Genomic DNA, 21,348 nt, shown 5'->3' on the forward strand with positions numbered 1-21,348 from the left:
GAGGGAGGGAAGGCAGGCCTGCCCCACCACGCCTGTCCCCAAGAACCCCGTCTTAAGCCAGCTCATAAATCTCCCATCACTCCTTCCGTGTGTCCTGGCTTCCCTCCTCAGCTCGGAGCAGTGGACATTTCCACCTGCAAGGTGAACTGTGCCCTACTGTGCCAACCGACAGGGATCAGGGGAAGGTGGACAGAGGGGCTGCACCTCTGTCCTTTACCCCCGCCATCCCCCACCAACCCCAGGTCAGATCTCCATTCCCACAATAAACTGTACCTAGCGGGGTGCAGGTGTGGTTTAAGGACATTCTCCTGGCCAGAGCCAGTGGCCTGCAGTGTGGTCTTCCCTAGATGTCCTCGCTGCAGGCATGAGGCCATGCCAGGTGGCCAGGCTAGGCTCTCAGGGGTGGTCCTGCTGTCTATGATGTGTGGGGAGCAGGCCTGGAGGAACTAAAGAGATGCAGGGACAAACATTTCCCAAAGGCCTGATGACATTTACTGGATTCAGCTGCCTTCATAAGCCTGCGTTTCTAGCTTTCAGTGTTTCTGGGGTTAACTTTAAAACAAAATCAAACCAAAAAAGGTTGTTATTATATACTGTGATTGTCCACAACTCTTAAACACAGGCCAGTGACAGTTTAATGCACTCCCACATCTGCTCAGGATCATAGAATTCTCTACATTTAAGAGTCGGGGGGCCGGGCATGGTGCCTCACGCCTGTAATCTCAGCACTTTGGGAGGCCGAGGCGAGTGGATCACCTGAGTTCAGGAGTTGGAGACCAGCCTGGCCAACATGGTGAAACCCTATCTCTTCTAAAAATACAAAAATTAGCTGGGCGTGGTGGCATGCGCCTGTAATCCCAGCTACTCTGGAGGCTGAGGCAGGAGAATAGCTTGAACCCAGGAGGCAGAGGTTGCAGTGAGCTGAGATTGCGTCATTGTACTCCAGCCCGGACTACAAGAGTGAAACTCAGTCTCAAAAAAAAAAAAAAAAAAAAAAAAAAAAGAAGGGTGAGGCAGTGGGGCAGAATTCCTAGGCCTCCTGGTAGAGCAGGGTGGCTTTGAGCCTGTAGGAAAGTTCGCTTTTCTGACTCAGTCTACTTTAAAGTGGCCTCTGAGGGACAGAGACCCTGATAGGATCTGGTTGTCTTGCAGAAAGGGGCAGTGAAGTCACTGACTTATTTTGTGGATGAATGCTGTTGCTGGATGTCCTAGCAGATATATTCCTCATTCTCCACTCAGCTTTCTTCAGCTCTCTCCTCCTGCCCATGTTAGCCCTACCCACTTCCATTCACAAATCCACCTTATGGATGGCTTGAAGGGTGCTTGAGGCTCATACCAAGGGGAATGAACACAGGCATCTCCCGGAAGAGAGCAGTCTGTAGAGAGAACATCTGTATTCCTGACTCGCAGACAGTGTGTGTCCTTTTATACAGCATCATCAAGTTCACCTTTCTCCATCTTTCTCACAAAGAAATCCTAAAAGACATTGAACATGCTTAGGTTTAAAAATGGGAGGGCATGATACAGTAGGAAGAGATGGCATTTGTCACCCATCTCCCCACTTTCTATCGGTGGACATGGGGCAAATTTTCTATCCTCTTTGAGTCTCAATTCTCTTATCTGGAATATGGGGATAATGGTGCCTCTGCTGTGGGGATTGGTTGAGAAAATGGACAAAGTGCCTAGCATGTAAAGCACACATCAAATGACAACTCTCTTCTTGCCCCTGGACTAAAGCAGTAAGGAACTGAAGTTCAAGTTCAAGTTCTGCCACTCGCCAGCTGTGACCAGAGCACTTTGCCTCATTTCAGTGAGCCCTGGGTTCCCATCTGTGCATGAGTCTAAGGTGCCATTTTCTACGATTCTTGGATTTATTTTGTCTACAGGTCCTGCTGACTTCCCCTTCAGAAAAGGACTGAGGTGAGTTTGCCCGGCCTGGTCTCCTGATGACCCCCTATTTGCTTGTCATCCCTCCTAAGCTTTGACATAGTTAAGTGGCAGGGATGCTAAATGACAGTGCAGGGAGTGCAGAAAACTGGTCAGCAACCACCTCTTCCAGGTCCCAGTGCATCCCCCATGCCCCTTCACTTCCGGGATTCTGACTGCCCTGACTGAGTGTGATGGGACACACCTGGCAAGAACAGGGGATGCGCACTCTCTCCTGCTCCGCCCTGCCGTGTTCCTTCCGTCCTTGCCTGTTTGAGTCTATTCTCTCCTTGAAGAGAGAAAATGAGGCAAAATCATCGGGTAGTTGAGTGGCTTTCTGCCTTCCTCCTGGAGTTTGTTAATTTTTCAAATTTCCCAAAATCTTTATTTGTTTATTTGTTTATTTTGAGATGGATTCTACCTCTTGTTGTGCAGGCTGGAGTGCAGTGGCACAATCTTGGCTTACTCTAACCTCTACCTCCCGGGTTTAAGCGATTCTCCTGCCTCAGCCTCCCGAGTAGCTGGGATTATAGGCGCACGCCAGCACACCTGGCTCATTTTTGTATTTTTAGTAGAGACGGAGTTTCACTATGTTGGCCAGACTGGTCTCAAACTCCTGACCTCAGGTGATCTGCCTGCCTCAGCCTCCCAAAATGCTGGGATTATAGGCATGAGCCACTGTGCCTGGCCTATTTTATTTATTTTTATTTTATTTTGTTTACTTATTTATTTGACATGGAGTCTCGCTCTGTTGCCCAGGCTGGAGTGCAATGGTGCAATCTTGGCTCACTGCAACCTCTGCCTGCCGGGTTCAAGTGGCGATTCTCCTGCCTTAACCTCCCAAGTAGCTGGGATTACAGGAGCCTGCCACCAGGCCCAGCTAATTTTTTTGTATTTAGTAGAGAAAAGTTTCACCATGTTGGTCAGGCTGGTCTCAAACTCCTGATCTCAGGTGATCCACCTGCCTCGGCCTCCCAAAGTGCTGGGAGTACAGGTGTGAGCCACCGCACCCGGCCTTACCTTATTTTTTTAAGAGACAGGGTCTTGCCCTGTTGCCCAACCTGGAGTACAGGGCACAATCGTAGCTCACGGCAGCCTCGACTTACTGGGCTCAAGCAACCCTCCCACCTCATCCTCCTGAGTAGCTGGAACCACAGGCACGCACTACCACACCTGGCCCTTCTTTATTTTATTGTGAATGCAGCTGAAAAATGTTCCCCAGGAACTATCTCCTTTGTAATTTTTTGCAAAGTAAAACTACAAGGTATATTGAAGCCAAGCTCTTTGGGGCTAATTTACAGTACTGTTTAGGGTAACGTACAATAGGTTGGGCTCATTTGAAACAAACTTGGGGGCTTCAGCTTGAGCAGATGGCTGAAACCTTCACACAGGGCTTCCTCTGAGCCCTGTAGTCTTCCGATCTTGGTTTTTCTCCTTCCTCCCCGCCCTTTTTTTTTTTTTTTTTTTGAGGTGGAGTTTCGCTCTTGTTGCCCAGGCTGGAGTGTAGTGGCAAAATCTTGGCTCACTGCACCCTCCGCCTCCCGGGTTCAAGCGATTCTCTTCTGCCTTAGCCTCCCGAGTAGCTGGGAATACAGGTATGTGCCACCATGCCTGGCTAATTTTTTTGGTATTTTTAGTAGAGACGGGGTTTCACCATGTTGGCCAGGCTGGTCTCAAACTCCTGACCTTAGGTGATGAAGCCACCTCGGCCTCCCAAAGTGCTGGGATTACAGGTGTGATCCACCACGCCTGGTCCTTCCTTCCCCTTTCAATTGTATTTTGAATGAATCAACAAGTGTAGAATTATTAAAGTTGTTGGAGAGGAAAAACGTCTAAATTGCTACCTCTGTGCAACAATTCCAGTCTTGGTTCTTACAATGAATCTGCTTTTGTAAAGAGCTAGACAGTGATTGCTATCCCAGGGTGCAGCTGTTCACAGCACAAAGCAGAAATAGTCAACATGAATATTATGGGTAGATTTCTGCAAATCATCCTCAGTTTTCTTCCCTTCATTTAAAAGACATCTTTCTCCTCACGTCTTAGGGTAGATTCAGAGACACACAAAAAGCAAAGTTTGCTTTTTAAAATAAAATGCTAAGTAGAATAGCACAAATGACTCTAAAATCAATGTATATGTATATTTCTTTTAAACTTTAATATATAAAACATACATTTCTTTTAACAAGGACCTTGGCTCTGATGGTCTCCATGTTTAGAATTTGAGTTCTTAAGTGAATGAGATCCAGAAAAAGCACTTTTTCAGAAATAAGAAATGGGCTATGATGACATTGTCAATTCACAATTGCTATAATAGAATATCAGAGAGATTAATTTGCTCAAAGTTATAGCCCAGAGTGCTGGGATATAAATTCATGTTTTCTGGCCCCATTGGTTTTTACCAACAGCAACCTCTCAAGGATGGTCCTACAGCTTACCTATGTGACATTTCTCAGGATATTCGAACTGATAGTTTTTGGAAGGACAGGAGGGCACGAAGAGAGTTTCAGGTATGTGAGGTTTGCTTCTTAAGCACATTCTGGCAAACCTCAGGCCACGTTTTACTCTGGGTCTCCATCAGTGTGCACACAATAGCAGTGTCCCCTTGACCTGCTGCAATATTCGTTTGTGATGGCCCCTGCCTCTTCAGAGCTGCCGCAGGACCTGCCTCATTCAGATGGAAAGCAAATGGCACTGGAAGAACGTTTCATCTCCTGCATCTGTGGGATCAGCCCCAGTACAGGCAAAAATCTCATGCTTTCATACCAGCCCCTCTGGGGCTTTCATCTCTGCTCCAAAAAAATGGACAGCTTCAAAAATTCAAAAATCAATTGGAATGGAGCCAGCTCTGTCCAGCGGGTTATTAATGGCCCTGGAGCTGACTAATCCTATTTGCACAGCCTTTTGGTAAACAGCTTCAACAACAACTAGGGTGGAAAAGAAAACACACACCCCATCCAATCAAGACAAACTTCAAGTATTGATTTCACTGCCTCCTTCTCCCCTGCTGCCACTTTTGAAACAAATTTAGAGTATGACACCAGGGTCATTGATCATTGCCAAACCCCCACGTCACCAGGTCCTGACTATGTTCTGCTGGAATAGTACATTGCTTCATTCTGCTGGAATAACTTTTCCAAGATTTCCTGAGGTAGGGAATATAAATTGCTGGATCCCGGGGAAGACGGCGGGGAAAAGAATATCTGGTTGGGCTCAGGTACTCCAGGTAGCTCTTCCTGACTGATCACTTCTCAGGTGCCGCGTAAGCCTCCACAGGAGCCGTGGGTCCTCCCTGAGCCCTGCAAACAGATCCCATTCCTGCCCCAGAGTCTTTACGGAGAGGCTTCCAGGTCTCCATTAAACTTCTTTCTGCTTTAGCTTCTGTTCTGTTTGTGGGAAAGACAAGGAGAGCCATGAGAGCTATTTCAGAGGGACCTTGTCTCATCAGTCTACACCCTGGGCTTGCTGCCCTGCCAACTTAAAAAAAAAAATGGTTTAGGGCCGGGTGCAGTGGCTCATGCCTATAATCCCAGCACTTTGGGAGGCCGAGGTGGGCAGATCACAAGGTCAAGAGATGGAGACCATCCTGGCCAACACAGTGAAACCCCGTCTCTATTAAAGATACAAAAATTAGCTGGGCATGGTGGCGCGCACCTGTAGTCCCAGCTACTCAGGAGGCTGAGGCAGAAGAATTGCTTGAATCCGGGAGGTGGAAGTTGCAGTGAGCCGAGATTGCGCCACTACACGCCAGCCTGGTGACAGTGTGAGACTCTGTTTCAAAAAAAAGAAAAAAAGGTTTTGGTCCTTACTCATAGTGACAGAAACAATGACAACCTGGTGACATGCAGACATCAATTTCCCCCTCTCTTTGTTGTTTTAAAATGTGATGTTCCTGGCTGGGCATGCTGGCTCACACCTGTAATCCCAACATTTGGGAGGCCATCATGGGAGGATTGCTTCAGCCCAAGAATTTGAGACCAGCCTTGGCAACGTAGTGAGACTCTGTCTCTAATAAATACATACATACATATATAAAATGTTTTGTTCGAACACAAATTAACTCTCTAATTGTGCAACATCCTTTCCAACCCTTCACTTCACCTCCATGTGTTTCAATGATTAATAAAACTGATTAATAAAGCAAGAATAACCTTGTTTTTTCCTCTTTCAGATGTTTTTGTCTCCTATTTGACTATGTTGTCACCCTAGTGGTTGAGACTGAGGACACTGTCTAGGGTCCACTATCCAAATAATGACAATGGGGAAGGGGTGAGAGTAGGGGTGTTATTGACAGATGGATATGAGTTCATTTATTCATTCAACAAACCTTCACTGGAGGCCTGCTGAATGCCAGGCATCATGCTGCCTAACTCTTAGCTGTGCCACTCACCCAACAGCGGCCATGGGGTGGGTTTGGACTGGTTCCTTAAGCCCCAAGCCACGGCTGCCTCACCTGAAACAAGGCAGACAATGCCACCTCCGGGTTTCTGTGAGGGCTTTATGAAAACTGTCACAGGGCCGGCACTCGGTAGTGCTCAATACATTTTTGTTTCTTTTTTCCTTTGGGCCCAACACAAGGGAGGCAGTTTGGGAGTCTAATGTAGATTCATGAACCCTCAATTTGTTAGTCAAATGGACTTTGTAGAGACCTAGGCACCCTCTTACACTTATCAGGGTATAAAAAACAAGTCCTCTCACCCCGCTCCATATCTTTGAAAAGTTTACTTTAGCTGGGCAAACACTAGGTATCAAAGAAACAAATAAGAGAAACACAAAAGTTTAGTTATTCCAGGTGGGAGTTAATTAGACAACTAAAGTCATCAAATGGCGTCTGGACTGTCAAGTTTTAGGATAACTCAGTGGGAGTAGTCTTGCGTTAGGAATCAGGAGACCTGATTCTGACCCCAGCCAGGGTCACCGCTTACTTACAAAAGCAAAGAGAGTGACTTTGGACTTCACCTCCCTGGCTCTTGCAAACTTCTCTTTATCTGAACAAGGAGGGGTTCTAAGGCACCGGAGGGTCTAAGAGCCATCCATCCCTTCCCCACTTTCCTCCTTCCAGAACATCCCCTGAGTACCTCCTGTGAAACTGTGGCCAGTAAGAAGTGACTGGTCCACAACAGAACTCACATGGAGGGCGAGGCGGGGAAGACACATGCGGATGCTGGAGTTGTCATTTCTATTCTGGCTGTGACATAGGAAGCTCTTAAAATGACATCACTGTTCTGTGAACCCAAACTAGGACCAAGAATCTCTGTTAGTGTTTTTCTTATGGCTTTCAGTTCTGTTCTATTGTAAAAAAAAACAAAACAAAACAAACCCCGCCCCTCCCCCCCCAAAAAAACCCAAAGCAAACCAAAACAAAAAATGATGAGGAGGACAGAGATGCCACAAAGAGCTTCCTGGGGCAGAAGAATCATCACAGATACAGTTAGGGTCACATTGCTGGGCAAGCGTCAGCACCACAATAGAGATTTTTTTTTTTATTGCAGTAAAATATACATAACATAAAGGTCACCATCTTAACCATTTTAAAGTGGCATTAAGGACATTGGCACTGTTGTGCAACCATCACCACCATCCACCTCCAGAATTTTTTACATCTACCCAAATTGAAACTGCACCCATTAAACAACAACCCCCGCCCCCCTGCCCCTGGTCACCACCGTCCCACTTCCTGTCTGTGAATCTGTTGCTAGATGCCTCACATGAGCAGATTCCCATAGTGTTTGTCATGAACGGAATTGCATAGAGTTTGTTATGAGCAGATTTGCATAGTTTTTTGTCATGAGCAGAATCACATAGTGTTTGTCATGAGCATAATTGCATAGTGTTTGTCATGAGCAGATTCACATAATGTTTATTGTGAGCTGATTTGCATAGCATTTGTCACGAGCCGATTTGCACAGTATTTGTCATGAGCAGAATCGCATCGCATTTGTCATGAGCAGAATCACATCATATTTGTCATGAGTGGATTTGCATAGTGTTTGCTGTGAGCGGAATCACATAGTGTTTGCCGTGAGCGGAATCGCATAGTGTTTGTCATGAATGGATTCGCATAGTATTTGTCATGAGCAGATTTGCATAGTATTTGCCACGAGTGGAATCACATCATATTTTTCATGAATGGATTCGCATAGTGTTTGCTGTGAGTGAAATCGCATAGTATTTGCCGTGAGCAGCATCGCATAGTGTTTGCCGTGAGCGAAATCGCATAGTGTTTGCCGCGAGCGGCATCACATAGTGTTTGTTGTGAATAGATTCACATAGTATTTGTCATGAGTGGAATCACATCGTATTTGTCATGAGTGGAATCGCATAGTGTTTGCTGTGAGTGAAATCGCATAGTGTTTGCTGTGAGTGAAATCGCATAGTGTTTGTCGTGAATGGATTCACATAGTATTTGTCATGAGTAGAATCACACAGTATTTGTCATGAGCGGGTTTGCATAGTATTTGCCATGAGTGGAATTGCATAGTATTTGCCATGAGCAGAATCGTATAGTATTTGTCATGCTGTGACGGTAGCCGTGTTCCTTCTGCTGAGTGTGGGAAGGAGGACTGAGTCCACCTGCAACTGAGGCTCCGACCAGACCAAGCCATCCATGGGGAAGGAATTAATCTGTTTGAAGGTTGCTGCTCTACGTTATCCCAACAGCATCAGCCCAAAAGTCAGCCTCAGGGAATGTGGGCTGTTGCCATGGAGATTCTGCCCAGGGGTCACCTCTGTGGTCCACGGAAAGAAAAGGTTCTGGCGGCAAACCCTTTCCTTAGTCCTGGGGCCTCTAAGTGACCCCTTCAAGTCTGAAAACCCATCCTGCCCTCTCTGAGCCTTGCAGGTGGTGCTCTCTCTGCCCGTACCCTTCACCCTTGCTTGCCTGGCCAGTCCTCCCCACCCAAGAAGGCCTGATTTAGCTGTTGCTTCCTGCAGTAGCATCCTATGAGCTTTGGTGCCACCTCAGTTACCTCCATGGAATTCCTTATGACAAAAAATTGTCCCTTTACTGATCAGTCTCCCCCAGCAGAGCATAGGCTCATTTTGGGCAGGGGCAACTGCTTCTTCACCACTCACCTCTGAGCCTGGCAAGGGCAGACAGCTGTTTCAGGTCAGGCCCCTCACTGGAGTGAGGGCTGGAGGGCGGGCACTCAGGGGGAATCTGCAGGGAGGAGAGGGAAGTTATCCAGGGAAAAGCTAAGCAAAATTGTGGCTTCAGATGAGTCTAACCTGACCTGATTCCCCTGAAGAGTTCTGGTACCTGAATGCACCACAGAGTTGTCCCGCCATGCGTTGGGGGCCAGGTTTTTGCACCTGTATGAGTCAGTCATTGGGTACAACCTTCCAGGCATAGCCAGGTGGTACAATGCCCTTTGCAGAGGGCAGCTCTCTGGGAAGTCGGCAGCTGTGTCTGCAGCCGGCACTCACACACCTGGCGGGGGGGGGGGGGGGGAGGTGGGAACCAAGATCATCTACTACAGCACAGGTGAGTACTTGTTCAATGAATGCTTGTCAATAGTAATGATGAAAACAAAATTAGCTGCTAATGATGAAAACAAAATTAGCTGCTGACGTTCACTCTGTGCCAGCCCCTGTGCTCTTTTGCTTACACCGTTTCATTCAGTCTCTACCACAACCCTATGAGGTAGGTGCCAATTGTATGAGGAAATTGATGTCCCACAGAGCTGAGTGATTTGCCCAAGATGCACAGCTAAAGGCTGGCAATGTCCAGGCTCAAACCTGGATCTCCTTGCCTTGATCCCAGATGATAGGCATGAATGTTAAAGTCCAGGAAGCACTGTAGGGGAAAGGACATTGAGACTTTTTCCCTTCCTCTCTCTCTGAAAACAACTTTTGCTTGTGTTATTTCCTTTCGCCAGCTTACTTCTGTGCGATGTGGGCCTGTGTTAACCTGCGAGGTTGTTAAACTGGTAAAAACATTTAAACAACACCTTGATCAAGCGCCGCCTCCTCCTAAGTAGCCTTCACCTTTCCTTCTGCAAAGCTGTCCCCTTAAATACCAAAGGTGTCAAATGGCTGCAGGTTGACTTCCTCTTGGGTCTCCACAGACAGAGTCATTGACACAGGTAGACTTAGAGTCAATGAGAGAGCAACCCTTACATCCCTGGACTGCTCCTCTATTTCTGCACTTCGGCCCATGGAAACGTCCTGGTCAATACTTCCTTGCTGCTTTATCTTTCAGAGGTCCCAGGCCACCACAGTATTTGTCCTAATTAGAGTCAGTTTGCTTTGCAAACCACACTCAAGCTCTCCTAGACACCGAGCAGCTGCTCCTCTGACGTCCCCACCGGAGCCCTTGTTTGCATTGTATGTTGTCAGCAAACAGACCGCCTTGAACAAGCCACTTGGGAGCGCTCCTCACCCGGGACCGGAGCAGCAGGCACATGGAAAACTCTTCCAGCTTTTCCTTAACAGACGGCTACCTTGCTTCATCATTTCAAAAAATGACAGCAAGAAATAAAGCACTCATACAAACACGTAAAAAGAGGTCATGGAGAGTGGAAAGAACAGTAATATACCCACCAAGGAGCAGCCTCTTAGCCCTTGCTCTCCCAGAACATGTCTTTCTCGGTAGGAAGAAGTTTAGCAGAGGATTATGGAGATGGTCTCAGCAACAAGACTGCCTGGATTTCCATCCTAGTTCCTGCCCCAGGTGGCTTAACCTCTCTGCAGTTCCGTTTCTTCACCTGTAAAATAGGGATAAGAATTCTGTTGGAAGAATTAAATAAGCTAAGAAGTATGGAGTACTTGGAACAAGGTCTGGTACACGATAGACTCTCTCTAAATAGTAGAATTTATTTGTCTTTCTGCTGTCTAAAAGCACTGAGTGATGAGGTTGTTGGCATTGGTGGTGGTGTGTTATTTCCAGAGTAAGGTCCTTCCAGGCAGGACATCAGCAGGGTGAAATGCTTGTCAGTACCTCTACTTCACAGATGTAGCAGAGACTTTGGCTGGAACAGGAAGACAGTTTCTGACGGAGAGAGGCTGAGGAGCGCTAACAGCTGGCTGCCCCAGGCCTCTGGCTCTGCGCTCACTTCTGTTGTATTTATCCCAGTTGAATTTACCCCATCCTTCCCCATCACATCCCAGGGACCATTTCCAGACCAGCAAGACAGTATGTGTCTGTATATCCCACCGTTCCTATATTTGTGCAGCTCAGAGGGTTTCCTCATACATTCTCTTGTTCCATCTTGCAGGTACCAGGTGGATACTTGAGTGCTAAGCTGGTTGTCCTTGGGCCCTTCATGCCAGGCTCCCAGAGGCCCTGCACTCTGAACATCAGGCAATGCCTCTCTATGATACATAGCTTTAATCAGCAGCAAAATAAAATGGGGCTCATTGAATAAGGCTTACAAAGATGATGAGCTCCTGCCTGGGTTTGCACTGCCTGCTGTGCGGACGAGCCGCATCTGTGGACTCCTCCTTAGTCAGACCAAGCTGCCATCTTTACCTTGGCTCCAAAGGTGACCTATGAGCTGCCACACCTACTCTAGGAATGCCCAGCAAAGTCCTGACTTGGCAACAGGGACCAGGGATAGAGACTTTGACACATCTCCGGTGACTCTTCTGGAAAGGAGTGGAAGATCTGCCGGTGAGCAATAGAAGCGTCACACCCCGGTTCCCAAACCCAGCCCTAGACATTCTGGTGCCAAGAGGTGTCACTTCCTGGCAAAGGTGAAGGGAGGGTCAGTTTCTCCCTGCTGTTCCTGATTCCATCAGCTCTTGACCCACAGAGCAAACATGTGCCCAGCCTCTGCAGCGACAACCAGGTGTTCTCCTGGACTCACCCTGGCCCAGATCCGCTCGGTGGAGTTGGCATCTGCTGTGAGCCTCCCATTTGATTTGACGGTTTCCATTTAGTAGGTATTTGTAGATGCAGCCAGTCCTTTGAAGAATTATTATGCTCATAAAGTGCAGAGAAAATGGTATAGCCCTGCCTACTTCTCAGTTTTCTGAGGCTCAGGAATCAGCACGTTGTTTTCCTGATTTCGCTCTAGGCTTTCTTCACTCCCGTAATGAGCAGTAGGGGTCACTGTGTAGCCACAGAACGCCTCCACGAGGCTCCAGAAATCTAACTCCACCTACCTCTGGGCTGGACCAGAACACTTGGATGAAACGGCCACGTCACCACATCTTCACAAAGTCAGGGGACACATTTAGCAGGATCTTTTCTGATTGAAATGATCAATGGCTATTTCTATGTTGCTGAAGTGAAAATGAATATAGTGGTTTGGGTTGGAATCACTATGTTGATATAATACATATATAGTGATATAAATGACTATATTGATATAAATGATATTGCCACCAACTCGTTATGCTCCTGAATTTCCTCAATTAGTTTGAAAATTGGTCCATTTTCCCCAAATAAGCTTAGAATACAGTTTTGTTTTGTTTTAGACAGAGTCTTGCTCTGTTGCACAAGCTGGAGTGCAGTGGTGCAATCTTGGCTCACTGCAACCTCTGCCTCCCGGGTTCAAGCGATTCTCCTGCCTCAGCCTCCCAAGTAGCTGGGATTATAGGCATATGCCACCACATCCGGCTAATTTTTATTTTTCGGAGAGATGGAGTTTCACCATGTTGGCCAGCCTGGATACGAACAGAATATACAGTTTTAATTGCATGTGTGTATATGTTTAGATACTGATAAGCAAACATTGTGTTAAAAACCAAGTATCGCATTATTCTGTTTTTTAAGACCTAGATTTATGGAAGATAAACATTAGAAAACAATATTCAGCAGTCTTGTTTCTAGTTTTAACATTGACCTAATGTGAAACAGAAGAAAATTTGGGATCAATAATAACACCACTTTGGTACCAACCACAGAACAAAAAAAGTTGAAAAAAAAAAAACAACCCACACCCTCAAAAGATAACAATGTAGTATGTACGAAAAAAGTGAGTAGAAATAAAATAAAATCAGATACTATGTGGGAAAGGGCTTTGTTGTCCATACATTGCCATAGTTGGCCCAGGCAAGGATAGTGGCAATTGAAACACTTTCTAAGATGCACAGCCCTGCAAGTCAGCTTTTGGCTGATTTCCTGGGTATTTAACTTGGAATTGGACAACGGCCCTGGCTGCTCCTCACAACCCCTACCACCTCTGTCCACCAGGGGGCTTCACTCTTTTCCGCTTGGATTCTCTTTACATCCTCCACCGGTCCCCAACTCCACTCACCCATCCCCCAGTAGATTCCCTCCACTCTCCCCATTTCCCTTCTTGTTTCCCACCTGGTCTACGATCTAGCCATTAAGGCTTCGGGGAGAAACATAGGAAAATCAGCACAGCCCACCAACTCCACTGCCTTGAAACTGCTTCTGCGTCTGTCGGCCCGCCTGCTTTCCACAGTACGGCAAATCCTGGGCGTTCAACAAATATTGTGGACCACCACTACACTAGAACCACCAAAGAAATATGATCAAGGCTGCACAAAGTAGTGCACTGAGGATCCACTGCTAATGAATTTGGAAAAATTAAAAGTCACAGGCCGGGCGCGGTGGCTCAAGGCTGGGCGCAGTGGCTCACGCCTATAGTCCCAGCACTTTGGGAGGCTGAAGCGGGTGGATCATGAGGTCAGGAGTTCGAGACCAGCCTGGGTAATTTGGTGAAACCCTGTCTCTACTAAAAATACAAAAATTAGCTGAGCGTGGTGGCACGTGCCTGTAGTCCCAGCTGCTTGGGAGGCTGAGGCAGGAGAATTGCTTGAACCCGGGAGATCGCAGTGAGCTGAGATGGAGCCACTGCGCTCCAGCCTGGTTGACAGAGCATGACTCTGTCTCAAAAAACAAAACAAACAAACAAAAAAACCACACACATTTAAACCGTTTTCTAGTGTCCAGTTCTGTAGTATTAGGTAGATTCCCACTGTTGTGCGACCATCACTACTAACCATTTCCAGGTCTCTGTTCACCCTGTGGAATGGAAACTCTGTAGCCATGGAACAACTCCCCATTCTGCAGTCCCTGGCAACCACCATTCTACTTTCTGTCCCTATGAATGTAACTACTCTAAGTCTTAAATGAGCCAAACTCATTAGCAGTCAATCCTCAATGCACTGCTTCATGCAGCTTTGATCATATTTCTTTGGTGGCCCCAGTGTAGTGGCGGTCCACAATATTTGTTGAATGCCCGGGATTTGCCACGCTGTGCCCGGCAGTCAGGTTGACAGATGCAGAAGCAGTTTCAATGCAGTGGAGTTGGTGGGCTATGCTGATTTTGCTGTGTTTCTCCCCAAAGCCTTACTACCTCGTGCGAGTGGACAAATACAGTATTTGTCCTTTTCTGACTGGCTTGCGTCACTTAATATCTTCAAGGTTCTTCATATTGTAGCACGTATCGGAATTTCCATCCTTTTTCAGGCTGAATAATGTTCCATTGTATGGACATTCCACATGTTGTTTATTCATTCATCCATTGATGGACACTTAAGTGGCTTTCACCTATTCACTGTTGTGAATAATGCTGCCATACACACATGGGTGTACAAACATCTATTTGAGTCTGTGCTTTCAGTTGAGTGTATACCTCAAAGTGGAATTGCTGGATCACATGGTAATTTTAAGTTTAATTTTTTTGAAGAATCATCATACCATTTTCCACAGTGGCTAAACCATTTTACATTCACACCAGGAATGTACAAGTGTTCCCATTTTAACAGCTCCTCAGCAACACTTGTTATTTTCTGTCTTTTGATAATAGCCATTCTAATGGGTGAAGTAGTTCCTTCATTTTTTGACTTCATACTTTTCTATTTCCTCTTTGCATGTCAACGGTTTTGTAATATCTTCTATAGAGTGTCAATTCAGTATTTCTTCTAGCACAGTGGTTGGGATTTATAAATATGTGACTTCACACAGCCATATTCACCATATATAGCACTACTATAGACTTCTGTCCTACAAACTCAGAAATCCTGATAAACACTTGACTTTGACTGTCATAAAAAATAAAAATAGTCCAGGCATGGTAACTCACACCTGTAATCCCAGCACTTTGGAAGGCTTAGGTGAGAGGATCACTTGAGCCTGGGAGTTTAAAACCAGCCTGGGCAACATAGTGAGACCTTGTTTCTACAAAAAAATTTAAAAATTAGCTGGGCATGGTGGCCCGTGCCTGTAGTCCCAGCTACTCAGCAGGCTGAGGCTGGAGCCCAGGAGGTCAAGGCTGCAATGGGCTGTGATCAAGACACTGCACTCCAGCCTGGGCAACAGAGTGAGACTGTGTCTCAAAGAAAAAAATGATTAAATAAATAAATAAATAAAAATACAATGCATTGGATTTATAATCATTGCGTTATTGAGTATATCCCTGAGGGAGAAACCTTCTGTTTAGACCCAGTGTCATTGAAGACTGGCTTCTCCACTAAAAATGTTACGCCTGTGATTAGAAGAGTGTTGTACCTTGGGCCTTGATGCTGGGAACACTGTGCAGGGGAAGCAAGCACATTCTGGAACCCATTCTTATAGCAGAACAGCTGGCAACAACTGTGCACAGAAGTGACTGCGAGCCACACAGATACGTCTCACTAACCCAAATTAAGTGTATCCCTATTCAACTTTCTCTTAGCAGGATCCCAAAAATGCCTGTGCCCATTCCAATGCCACCCAATACTAGGGGCATTGTGTGTGTTCTTTTTCTTACTGATCTGTGGCTGTTCTTTATATATTACGAATATAAGTCCTTATCATTTTTATGTATTACAAATATAGTGTTGAACTGTGTGGCTTGCCTTTTCACTCTTTTTTTTTTTTTGACAGAGTTTTGCTCTTGTTGCCCAGGCTGGAGTGCAATGGCACAATCTTGGCTCACTGCAACCTCCACCTCCTGGGTTCAAGCAATTCTCCCGTCTCAGCCTCCCTAGTAGCTGGGATTACAGGCGCCCGCCACCATACCCAGCTAATTTTTTTGTATTTTTAGTAGAGACAGGGTTTCACCATGTTGGCCAGGCTGGTCTTGAACTCCTGACCTCAGGTAATCCACTCTCCTCGGCCTCCCAAAGTGTTGGGATTATAGGTGTGAGCCACTGCGCTTGGCCTGCCTTTTCACTCTCTTAATTGTGTTTTTGATGAACAAAAGTTCCTAATGTTAATATAGTTCAACTTATCTGTTTTTTTTTGTTTTTTTTTTTTATGGTTAGGGATTTCAGTGTCCTGTTTAGGAAGAGTTTTCTCTCACCTCAAGACCAGGAAGATATTTTCCTATTTTCTTCTAGAAACTTTATTCGTTTACCTTTCACATTTAGATGACCAATCCATCTGCAACTGATTTTTGTATATGGTATGAGATGGGGCCAAAATTTATTTTAAAAAAAGAAATACCAATAGCCAATTTCCCTAATACCAATTATGAAGACCATTTTTTCCTCTGTCCTCTGAGCTTCAAGTTTTGTCATAAATCCAGTTTTGTCTATGTATGTGTGGATTTATTTCTGGACTCTTTGGGTTTTTTGTTTGTTTTTTGAGACAGAATCTGGCTGCACACCCGGGCTGGAATGCAGTAGTGTGATCATGGCGCACTGCAGCCTTGACCTGTGCTCAAGCAATTCTCCCATCTCAGCCTCCCAAATAGCTAGGACTACAGGCACATGCCACTACGCCTGCATTTATTTATTTTTTATTTATTTATTTATTTTTTGTAAAGACAGGATTTCACCATATTGCCCAGGCTGATCTTGAATTCCTAGGCTCAAATGATCTTCCTGCCTCAGCGTCCCAAAGTGCTGGGATTACAGGCATGAGCCACTGTGCCTGGCCTGTTATTTTTCTATCCTTGCATCAATACCTCTTGGTCTTAATTACTGTATGTTTATAATAAGTCTTGGTTTCCAGTAATGTAGAAACTTCAATTGTAATCTTCTTGATGAATGTCTTACCTATTCTCGGGCTTTTGTATTTCCATATAAATTTTGGAAACAGATTGTTGATTTCTAAAAAAAGAAAAAAAGCGTTCTGGCATTTTTATTTGGATTATATTGAATCTATAGCTCAGTTTGGAAAATAAGTAATTTAACTTTTCTAAGTCCTTTTTCTCTTCTGAAAAAAAAAAGAAAAAATGGTGACTGAGCAATTTTTAAACTGGAAAAAATCACTACAGAAATGCTGGATTTTTATTATAAAATGAGAAGGAACACAGGCAAGGACTGGGGCAAGGTCAGCCTACAGTGGATTTCCAGAAGGTTGGAGTGACTCTGGAATCTGGTTGCCCTCAGGCGGCACTGGCCCAGGTTGCTGGAGCACGGGCTGTTCGGCTGCCGCTGGTTAGGAGTCAGGCTGGCTTCTAACTCAGAGGCTTGAGTCCAGGAAGAAGAGGCCGTGGGGTTTTCCTGCACCGTTGTTCCCATCCCATCCCCAGGGGGGCGCCACATTCCTTCTGATGATTGTGTGTTTGCCTTCCTGCATCTTTTTCTTTGTAGACTGGAAACTGCAGAGCAATCACATTACCTTTATTTTTCAAATGTGTCCACCGTGTGTCAGGCCCAGCTCTGGGTGGATTCACCTCCCCACTTGTTCTGTACAGAATGGCACACTTGGAGAGAGGACCAGATGTGCCAATGGGGAAAGGGCATCAAGACAGTCCCTCGTGACCCCCCACTGTCTCTAGGGTCCCCCTTCTGTTCCTTGGAGCACGTCCTGAGCCAACCTAAGGCCATTTGTGTGTTCATGTGACCAGGGCATAAAGGGGACACAACCTTCTTTCTCTGGAGTCAGCCTGTTTAGCAAACGCGAGGGTCTGACACCTCCTCTCTCCACACTCCCAGCCTCAGCCTGCCAGTTCCAGTGGTTTCTTTCAAAGCTTTCACTGCAGTCCCCTGAACAAATACTTTTTTCCCAAGAGGCGTTCCCCAGGCTGAAACAAGGGGAAGTAAATGTGACCCCACTGCATTGCCTCCCACAAGTCATTCTGCCTCCTTCATCCTGTCCTGGTCTTTGTCCTGTCCTGGTCTTCAGGGAGCCCCTGGGAGGGAGACCTGTGTCTGCAGCGGCCAGTGTCTAGCAGAGGTGGTGCCTCTATCCAAAGCCATGGCCCACTCTCCTGAGTGCGAGTGAGCCCCAAACAAACCTTGGAGAACCTTCCTGCTTTCAGGTGCCCCAGGATCCCTGAGCACTTCTGCCCATCTAGCCTCCTAGAGGAAGCCCAGTCGGGGGGGGGGTGGGGGAGGGGCGGTAGGGGAGTTAGCACCCTCTTGAGAAAAGCGGCAGGCAGGCAGCAAAGGAGAGAAGGATGCTAGCTGGAGTCTGTTCAGCCCAGGTGCCTGGGGAGGGTCCTCAGTGTCTGCAGCGGAGTCTGGATGTCCCTGCAATGGGCAGAGCCCCACATTGGGCAGGGCGGAGCTGGCTTGTTGAGGAGTCCTACCTGCCTCCACCATTCCCTGAGTGCTGAGTGGCGTGTGGGCTTTGTCTGGATGGCTGAAGGAACAGAACAGTACCTGTGGTATCCTTCTTTATCCCAGCCCCGCTGGACCCGGCCCCTATAAGGCAGTGTGGTAGGTGAACCCCCAGAGGACACCCTCAGACCCTCTTCTCGTTCCTGGGGGCGGGGGACGTGCTGTAGCCTGACCCCAGGAACATTGGGATTCCTACCTGTCCTATCCCCCCCTCCTGTGGGGGCAACCAGCCCCAGCTGAGGGGTACCAGATGTGAGAGTCGGAAGCGCACCCTCACCCTCCCTTCCCAGCAGCTGGCTAGAAGGCCTCTCTTAAAAGGCCTGGGTACCTGGCCGTGGGGTGTGGGGAGGAAGGAAGGGAGTGGGAGAGAATTAGACAAAGGAAGCCCACCATAAAACCAGCAGCAGGTCTGTAATCGTGACAGCCCTTTGTTTAGAGCCGGTTTAAACAAGTTGTGATCCTTTGGAAGGGGAGGCCATAAACCGAGGGGTGAAATAAAAGTGTTTACAGCAAGGGAGACCCAGGTGCTGGGGGGTTCGTTTGGCCAGGATCAATGCGGGAGCGGGGCCGGTGCGGCCTGGCCTGGCCTGGGCTTGGAGAATGGGCTTCCTCTTAGTGCCGGGCGGCTCCAACATCACAGACTCAAGCCCGACGAGGGGCGGCCCTCCCCACCCACACCTGCAGTCGAGGGGCAATCCCACATTCCAACCTGGGGGCACGGGGCAGGAGCCCGGGTCTGCACCATCTAGAGATTAATTGCCTGGGGCCGCAGAGCTTACAGTCAGCTTCTCTGCTTCTCTACAAATTCCTTCATAATGGACTTGAGGGAGTTACACTAATAAGAGGGTGTGAGGACAGTTGTTTCTCACAGACATGCCTCTTAGTCCCCACTTATCAGGCTGGGAAAGTTAGGGTTAGGGCCCGAGGGAGTAATATGGTTATATCTGACATGTCCCCAGCCCTGAGCCCCCCACACCTACCACCATTTCTGTCCTCCGCTCTGTTTAGCAATGCTGAATACATAAACATCACACAATCAGTCAGTCATTCCGTAAGTTTAACGAGCACTTCCGGTAGGGCAGACAACCAGGGCAGGGGCCACAGAGGTACAGGACACAGTCTCTGTCCTGAAAGTAGGGCAGTTTGGGGATAACTAGCAATAATATTCTCAGGACATGTCAGCTGGCATATACTCATGTTTTTAAAATAATTAATGCTCCCCAAGAATATATGTGTCCATGCAACACGATACCTTTGGAGAATGGCAGTACCAAATAAGACTAACATGGTCCTTGGAAGAATATCGTGCTGATGTCCTCCCCACGTAATTTGTTGTTTGTGCTCAGCAGGAAATGTTGCCAGACTTTTCTGCAAAAATTCACACTGAGGTCACACCTATACTAATAAGGAAAATGAGTAGTCAGAGGCACAAGACGGATCAGGCCCCTATTCTCCCTTAAGACATTTGTATGGCTCTTTAGCTTGCAACATTTGTGGAAGTGGGGCAACTACGTGGGGGCCTCTTAAAGAGAAAAGTCCCCATGAAAATGTCCCTTCTGTCGTTCATGTATTCAATTCTTGGATCAGCCTGGCCAGTTAAAGAGATGAGCTTTGTTCTGTAATACCCAATATGTTTTCTTCATTAGGAGAACAGTTCAGAAAATAAGCAAAGATGCCAGTTTCATCTTTAAAATGACTTCATTTTTTATAAATTGATTTCAAACACATTCTAGTCTGAGCCTGGCCACTCTGGTGACCTCCCTAGGACCATTTCCTTATTTGTAAAATAATCATATTTATAATCTCTGCATTCCTGCTTCGTTAATAACAACAACAAAACCCAAATAGGATTCTAAGTAGCATAGTGGCCTGATCAATTGCGCTGGTGGGAATCACATTCCTAATCACACAGTTAGGAAACATTTCGCGCCCTCCAGCATTTGGTAATATATACCATTTACTGGTGTAAGAGGCACGGGCCCCTCTGTCTCTTTCAGTGATTGATGCAAATTCTCTACTCTCCCAAAGCTCAGCTCCCTGGGGGAGAAGTCCTGGAGACTGTCCTTACTGTGCACTGTGAGGTTCAATAGGTGGCAGCAGCCTTTATCTCTGATGGCTGGCATCTTGCTGCCTTTGCTGAACCGGTTCCTGTGGGAACCGGTCTCCCCATTGCTCTAAGGCAGGAGTGTGTGTCCTTCAACTGTGATGCTGAGCCATTGCATCAGGAGCCTCTCAGATACATAGCTGCTGGAGGAGGACCAACCCTTGATATGGGGGTGCTGGGAAGGGAAGAGCGTGGTCCCTTTAAATGATACAGAAGGGGGTAAGGGAAGTGCAGGGTAGAGGAGGGCGTGGTCCCTGGCTAGGGCTCCACCCCCATGGACCTTGGTGAGGACAGGCATTTTTGTTGCATTTCCCAAGACCACCCTGGCCGACCTTCCACACCCTTATCCTGGACCTATAAAAACCCGAGACCCTAGCAGGCAGACACACAAGCCGCTGTACGTGGAGAAAAACAAATCGATGAAAGAAGACAAGCGGCTGGACATCGAGAGACATCAAGGGGAGCATGCCGGCAGAAGAGCACTCAGACAGATGCTGGCAGGCCATTGACCCGCGGAAGGAGGCGGAGTTTGGACGGGGCAGTCTGAGGAGAGCCTAGGCCGCCAGGTGGCCCAGCTCCACAAGGAAAACCATCTCCCTTCTGGCTCCCCCGTTTGACGAGAGGTACTTTTACTCAATAAAGCCTTGCACTCATTCTCCAAGCTCACGTGTGATCGGGTTCTTCCAGTACACCAAGGCAGGAAACCCCAGGATACAGAAATCCTTCTGTCCTTGTGATAATATGGAAGGGGATCTAACTGAGCTAACACAAGCTGCCTGCAGACAGCTAAACTCTTAAAAGAGTACCGTGTAACACATGCCCACTGAGGCTTCAGGAGCTGTAAACATTCACCCCTAGCCACTGCTGTAGGGTTGGAGCCCCACAGCCTGCCCGTCTGTATGCGCCTCTAGAGG

The 21,348-nt window shown here is 47.0% G+C and overlaps 1 long non-coding RNA gene across 1 annotated transcript, besides 3 other annotated features; it reads right to left on the minus strand.

Annotated features, from left to right (window-relative positions):
• LOC105370126 (uncharacterized) lies at positions 4,057-11,929 on the minus strand. Its single transcript, XR_941783.4, has 5 exons — positions 11,730-11,929; positions 10,465-10,628; positions 8,998-9,082; positions 5,578-5,694; positions 4,057-5,309 (listed from the first exon to the last, which is right to left on the minus strand). It is a non-coding gene; the product is annotated as an uncharacterized LOC105370126 (long non-coding RNA).
• Positions 10,844-12,043: an enhancer, noted in NCBI's record as "CDK7 strongly-dependent group 2 enhancer chr13:27947836-27949035 (GRCh37/hg19 assembly coordinates)". NCBI's record gives its function as "activates an origin of replication core promoter dependent on BRD2, BRD4, P300/CBP, MED14 and CDK7 cofactors, with strong dependence on CDK7, by STARR-seq in HCT116 cells {active_cell/tissue: HCT116}" and the evidence as "EXISTENCE:reporter gene assay evidence [ECO:0000049][PMID:35650434]".
• Positions 16,964-17,151: a silencer, noted in NCBI's record as "fragment chr13:27953956-27954143 (GRCh37/hg19 assembly coordinates)". NCBI's record gives its function as "represses an EF-1alpha promoter that drives an FKBP-Casp9 reporter gene in an ReSE screen in K562 erythroleukemia cells {active_cell/tissue: K562}" and the evidence as "EXISTENCE:reporter gene assay evidence [ECO:0000049][PMID:32094911]".
• Positions 18,077-18,764: an enhancer, noted in NCBI's record as "H3K4me1 hESC enhancer chr13:27955069-27955756 (GRCh37/hg19 assembly coordinates)". NCBI's record gives its function as "activates a minimal SCP1, AML or CMV promoter by ChIP-STARR-seq in naive H9 embryonic stem cells {active_cell/tissue: H9 hESC(naive)}" and the evidence as "EXISTENCE:reporter gene assay evidence [ECO:0000049][PMID:30033119]".

The sequence above is a fragment of the Homo sapiens genome, chromosome 13, assembly GCF_000001405.40.
Source record: "Homo sapiens chromosome 13, GRCh38.p14 Primary Assembly".
Taxonomy (NCBI): Eukaryota; Metazoa; Chordata; class Mammalia; order Primates; family Hominidae; genus Homo; species Homo sapiens.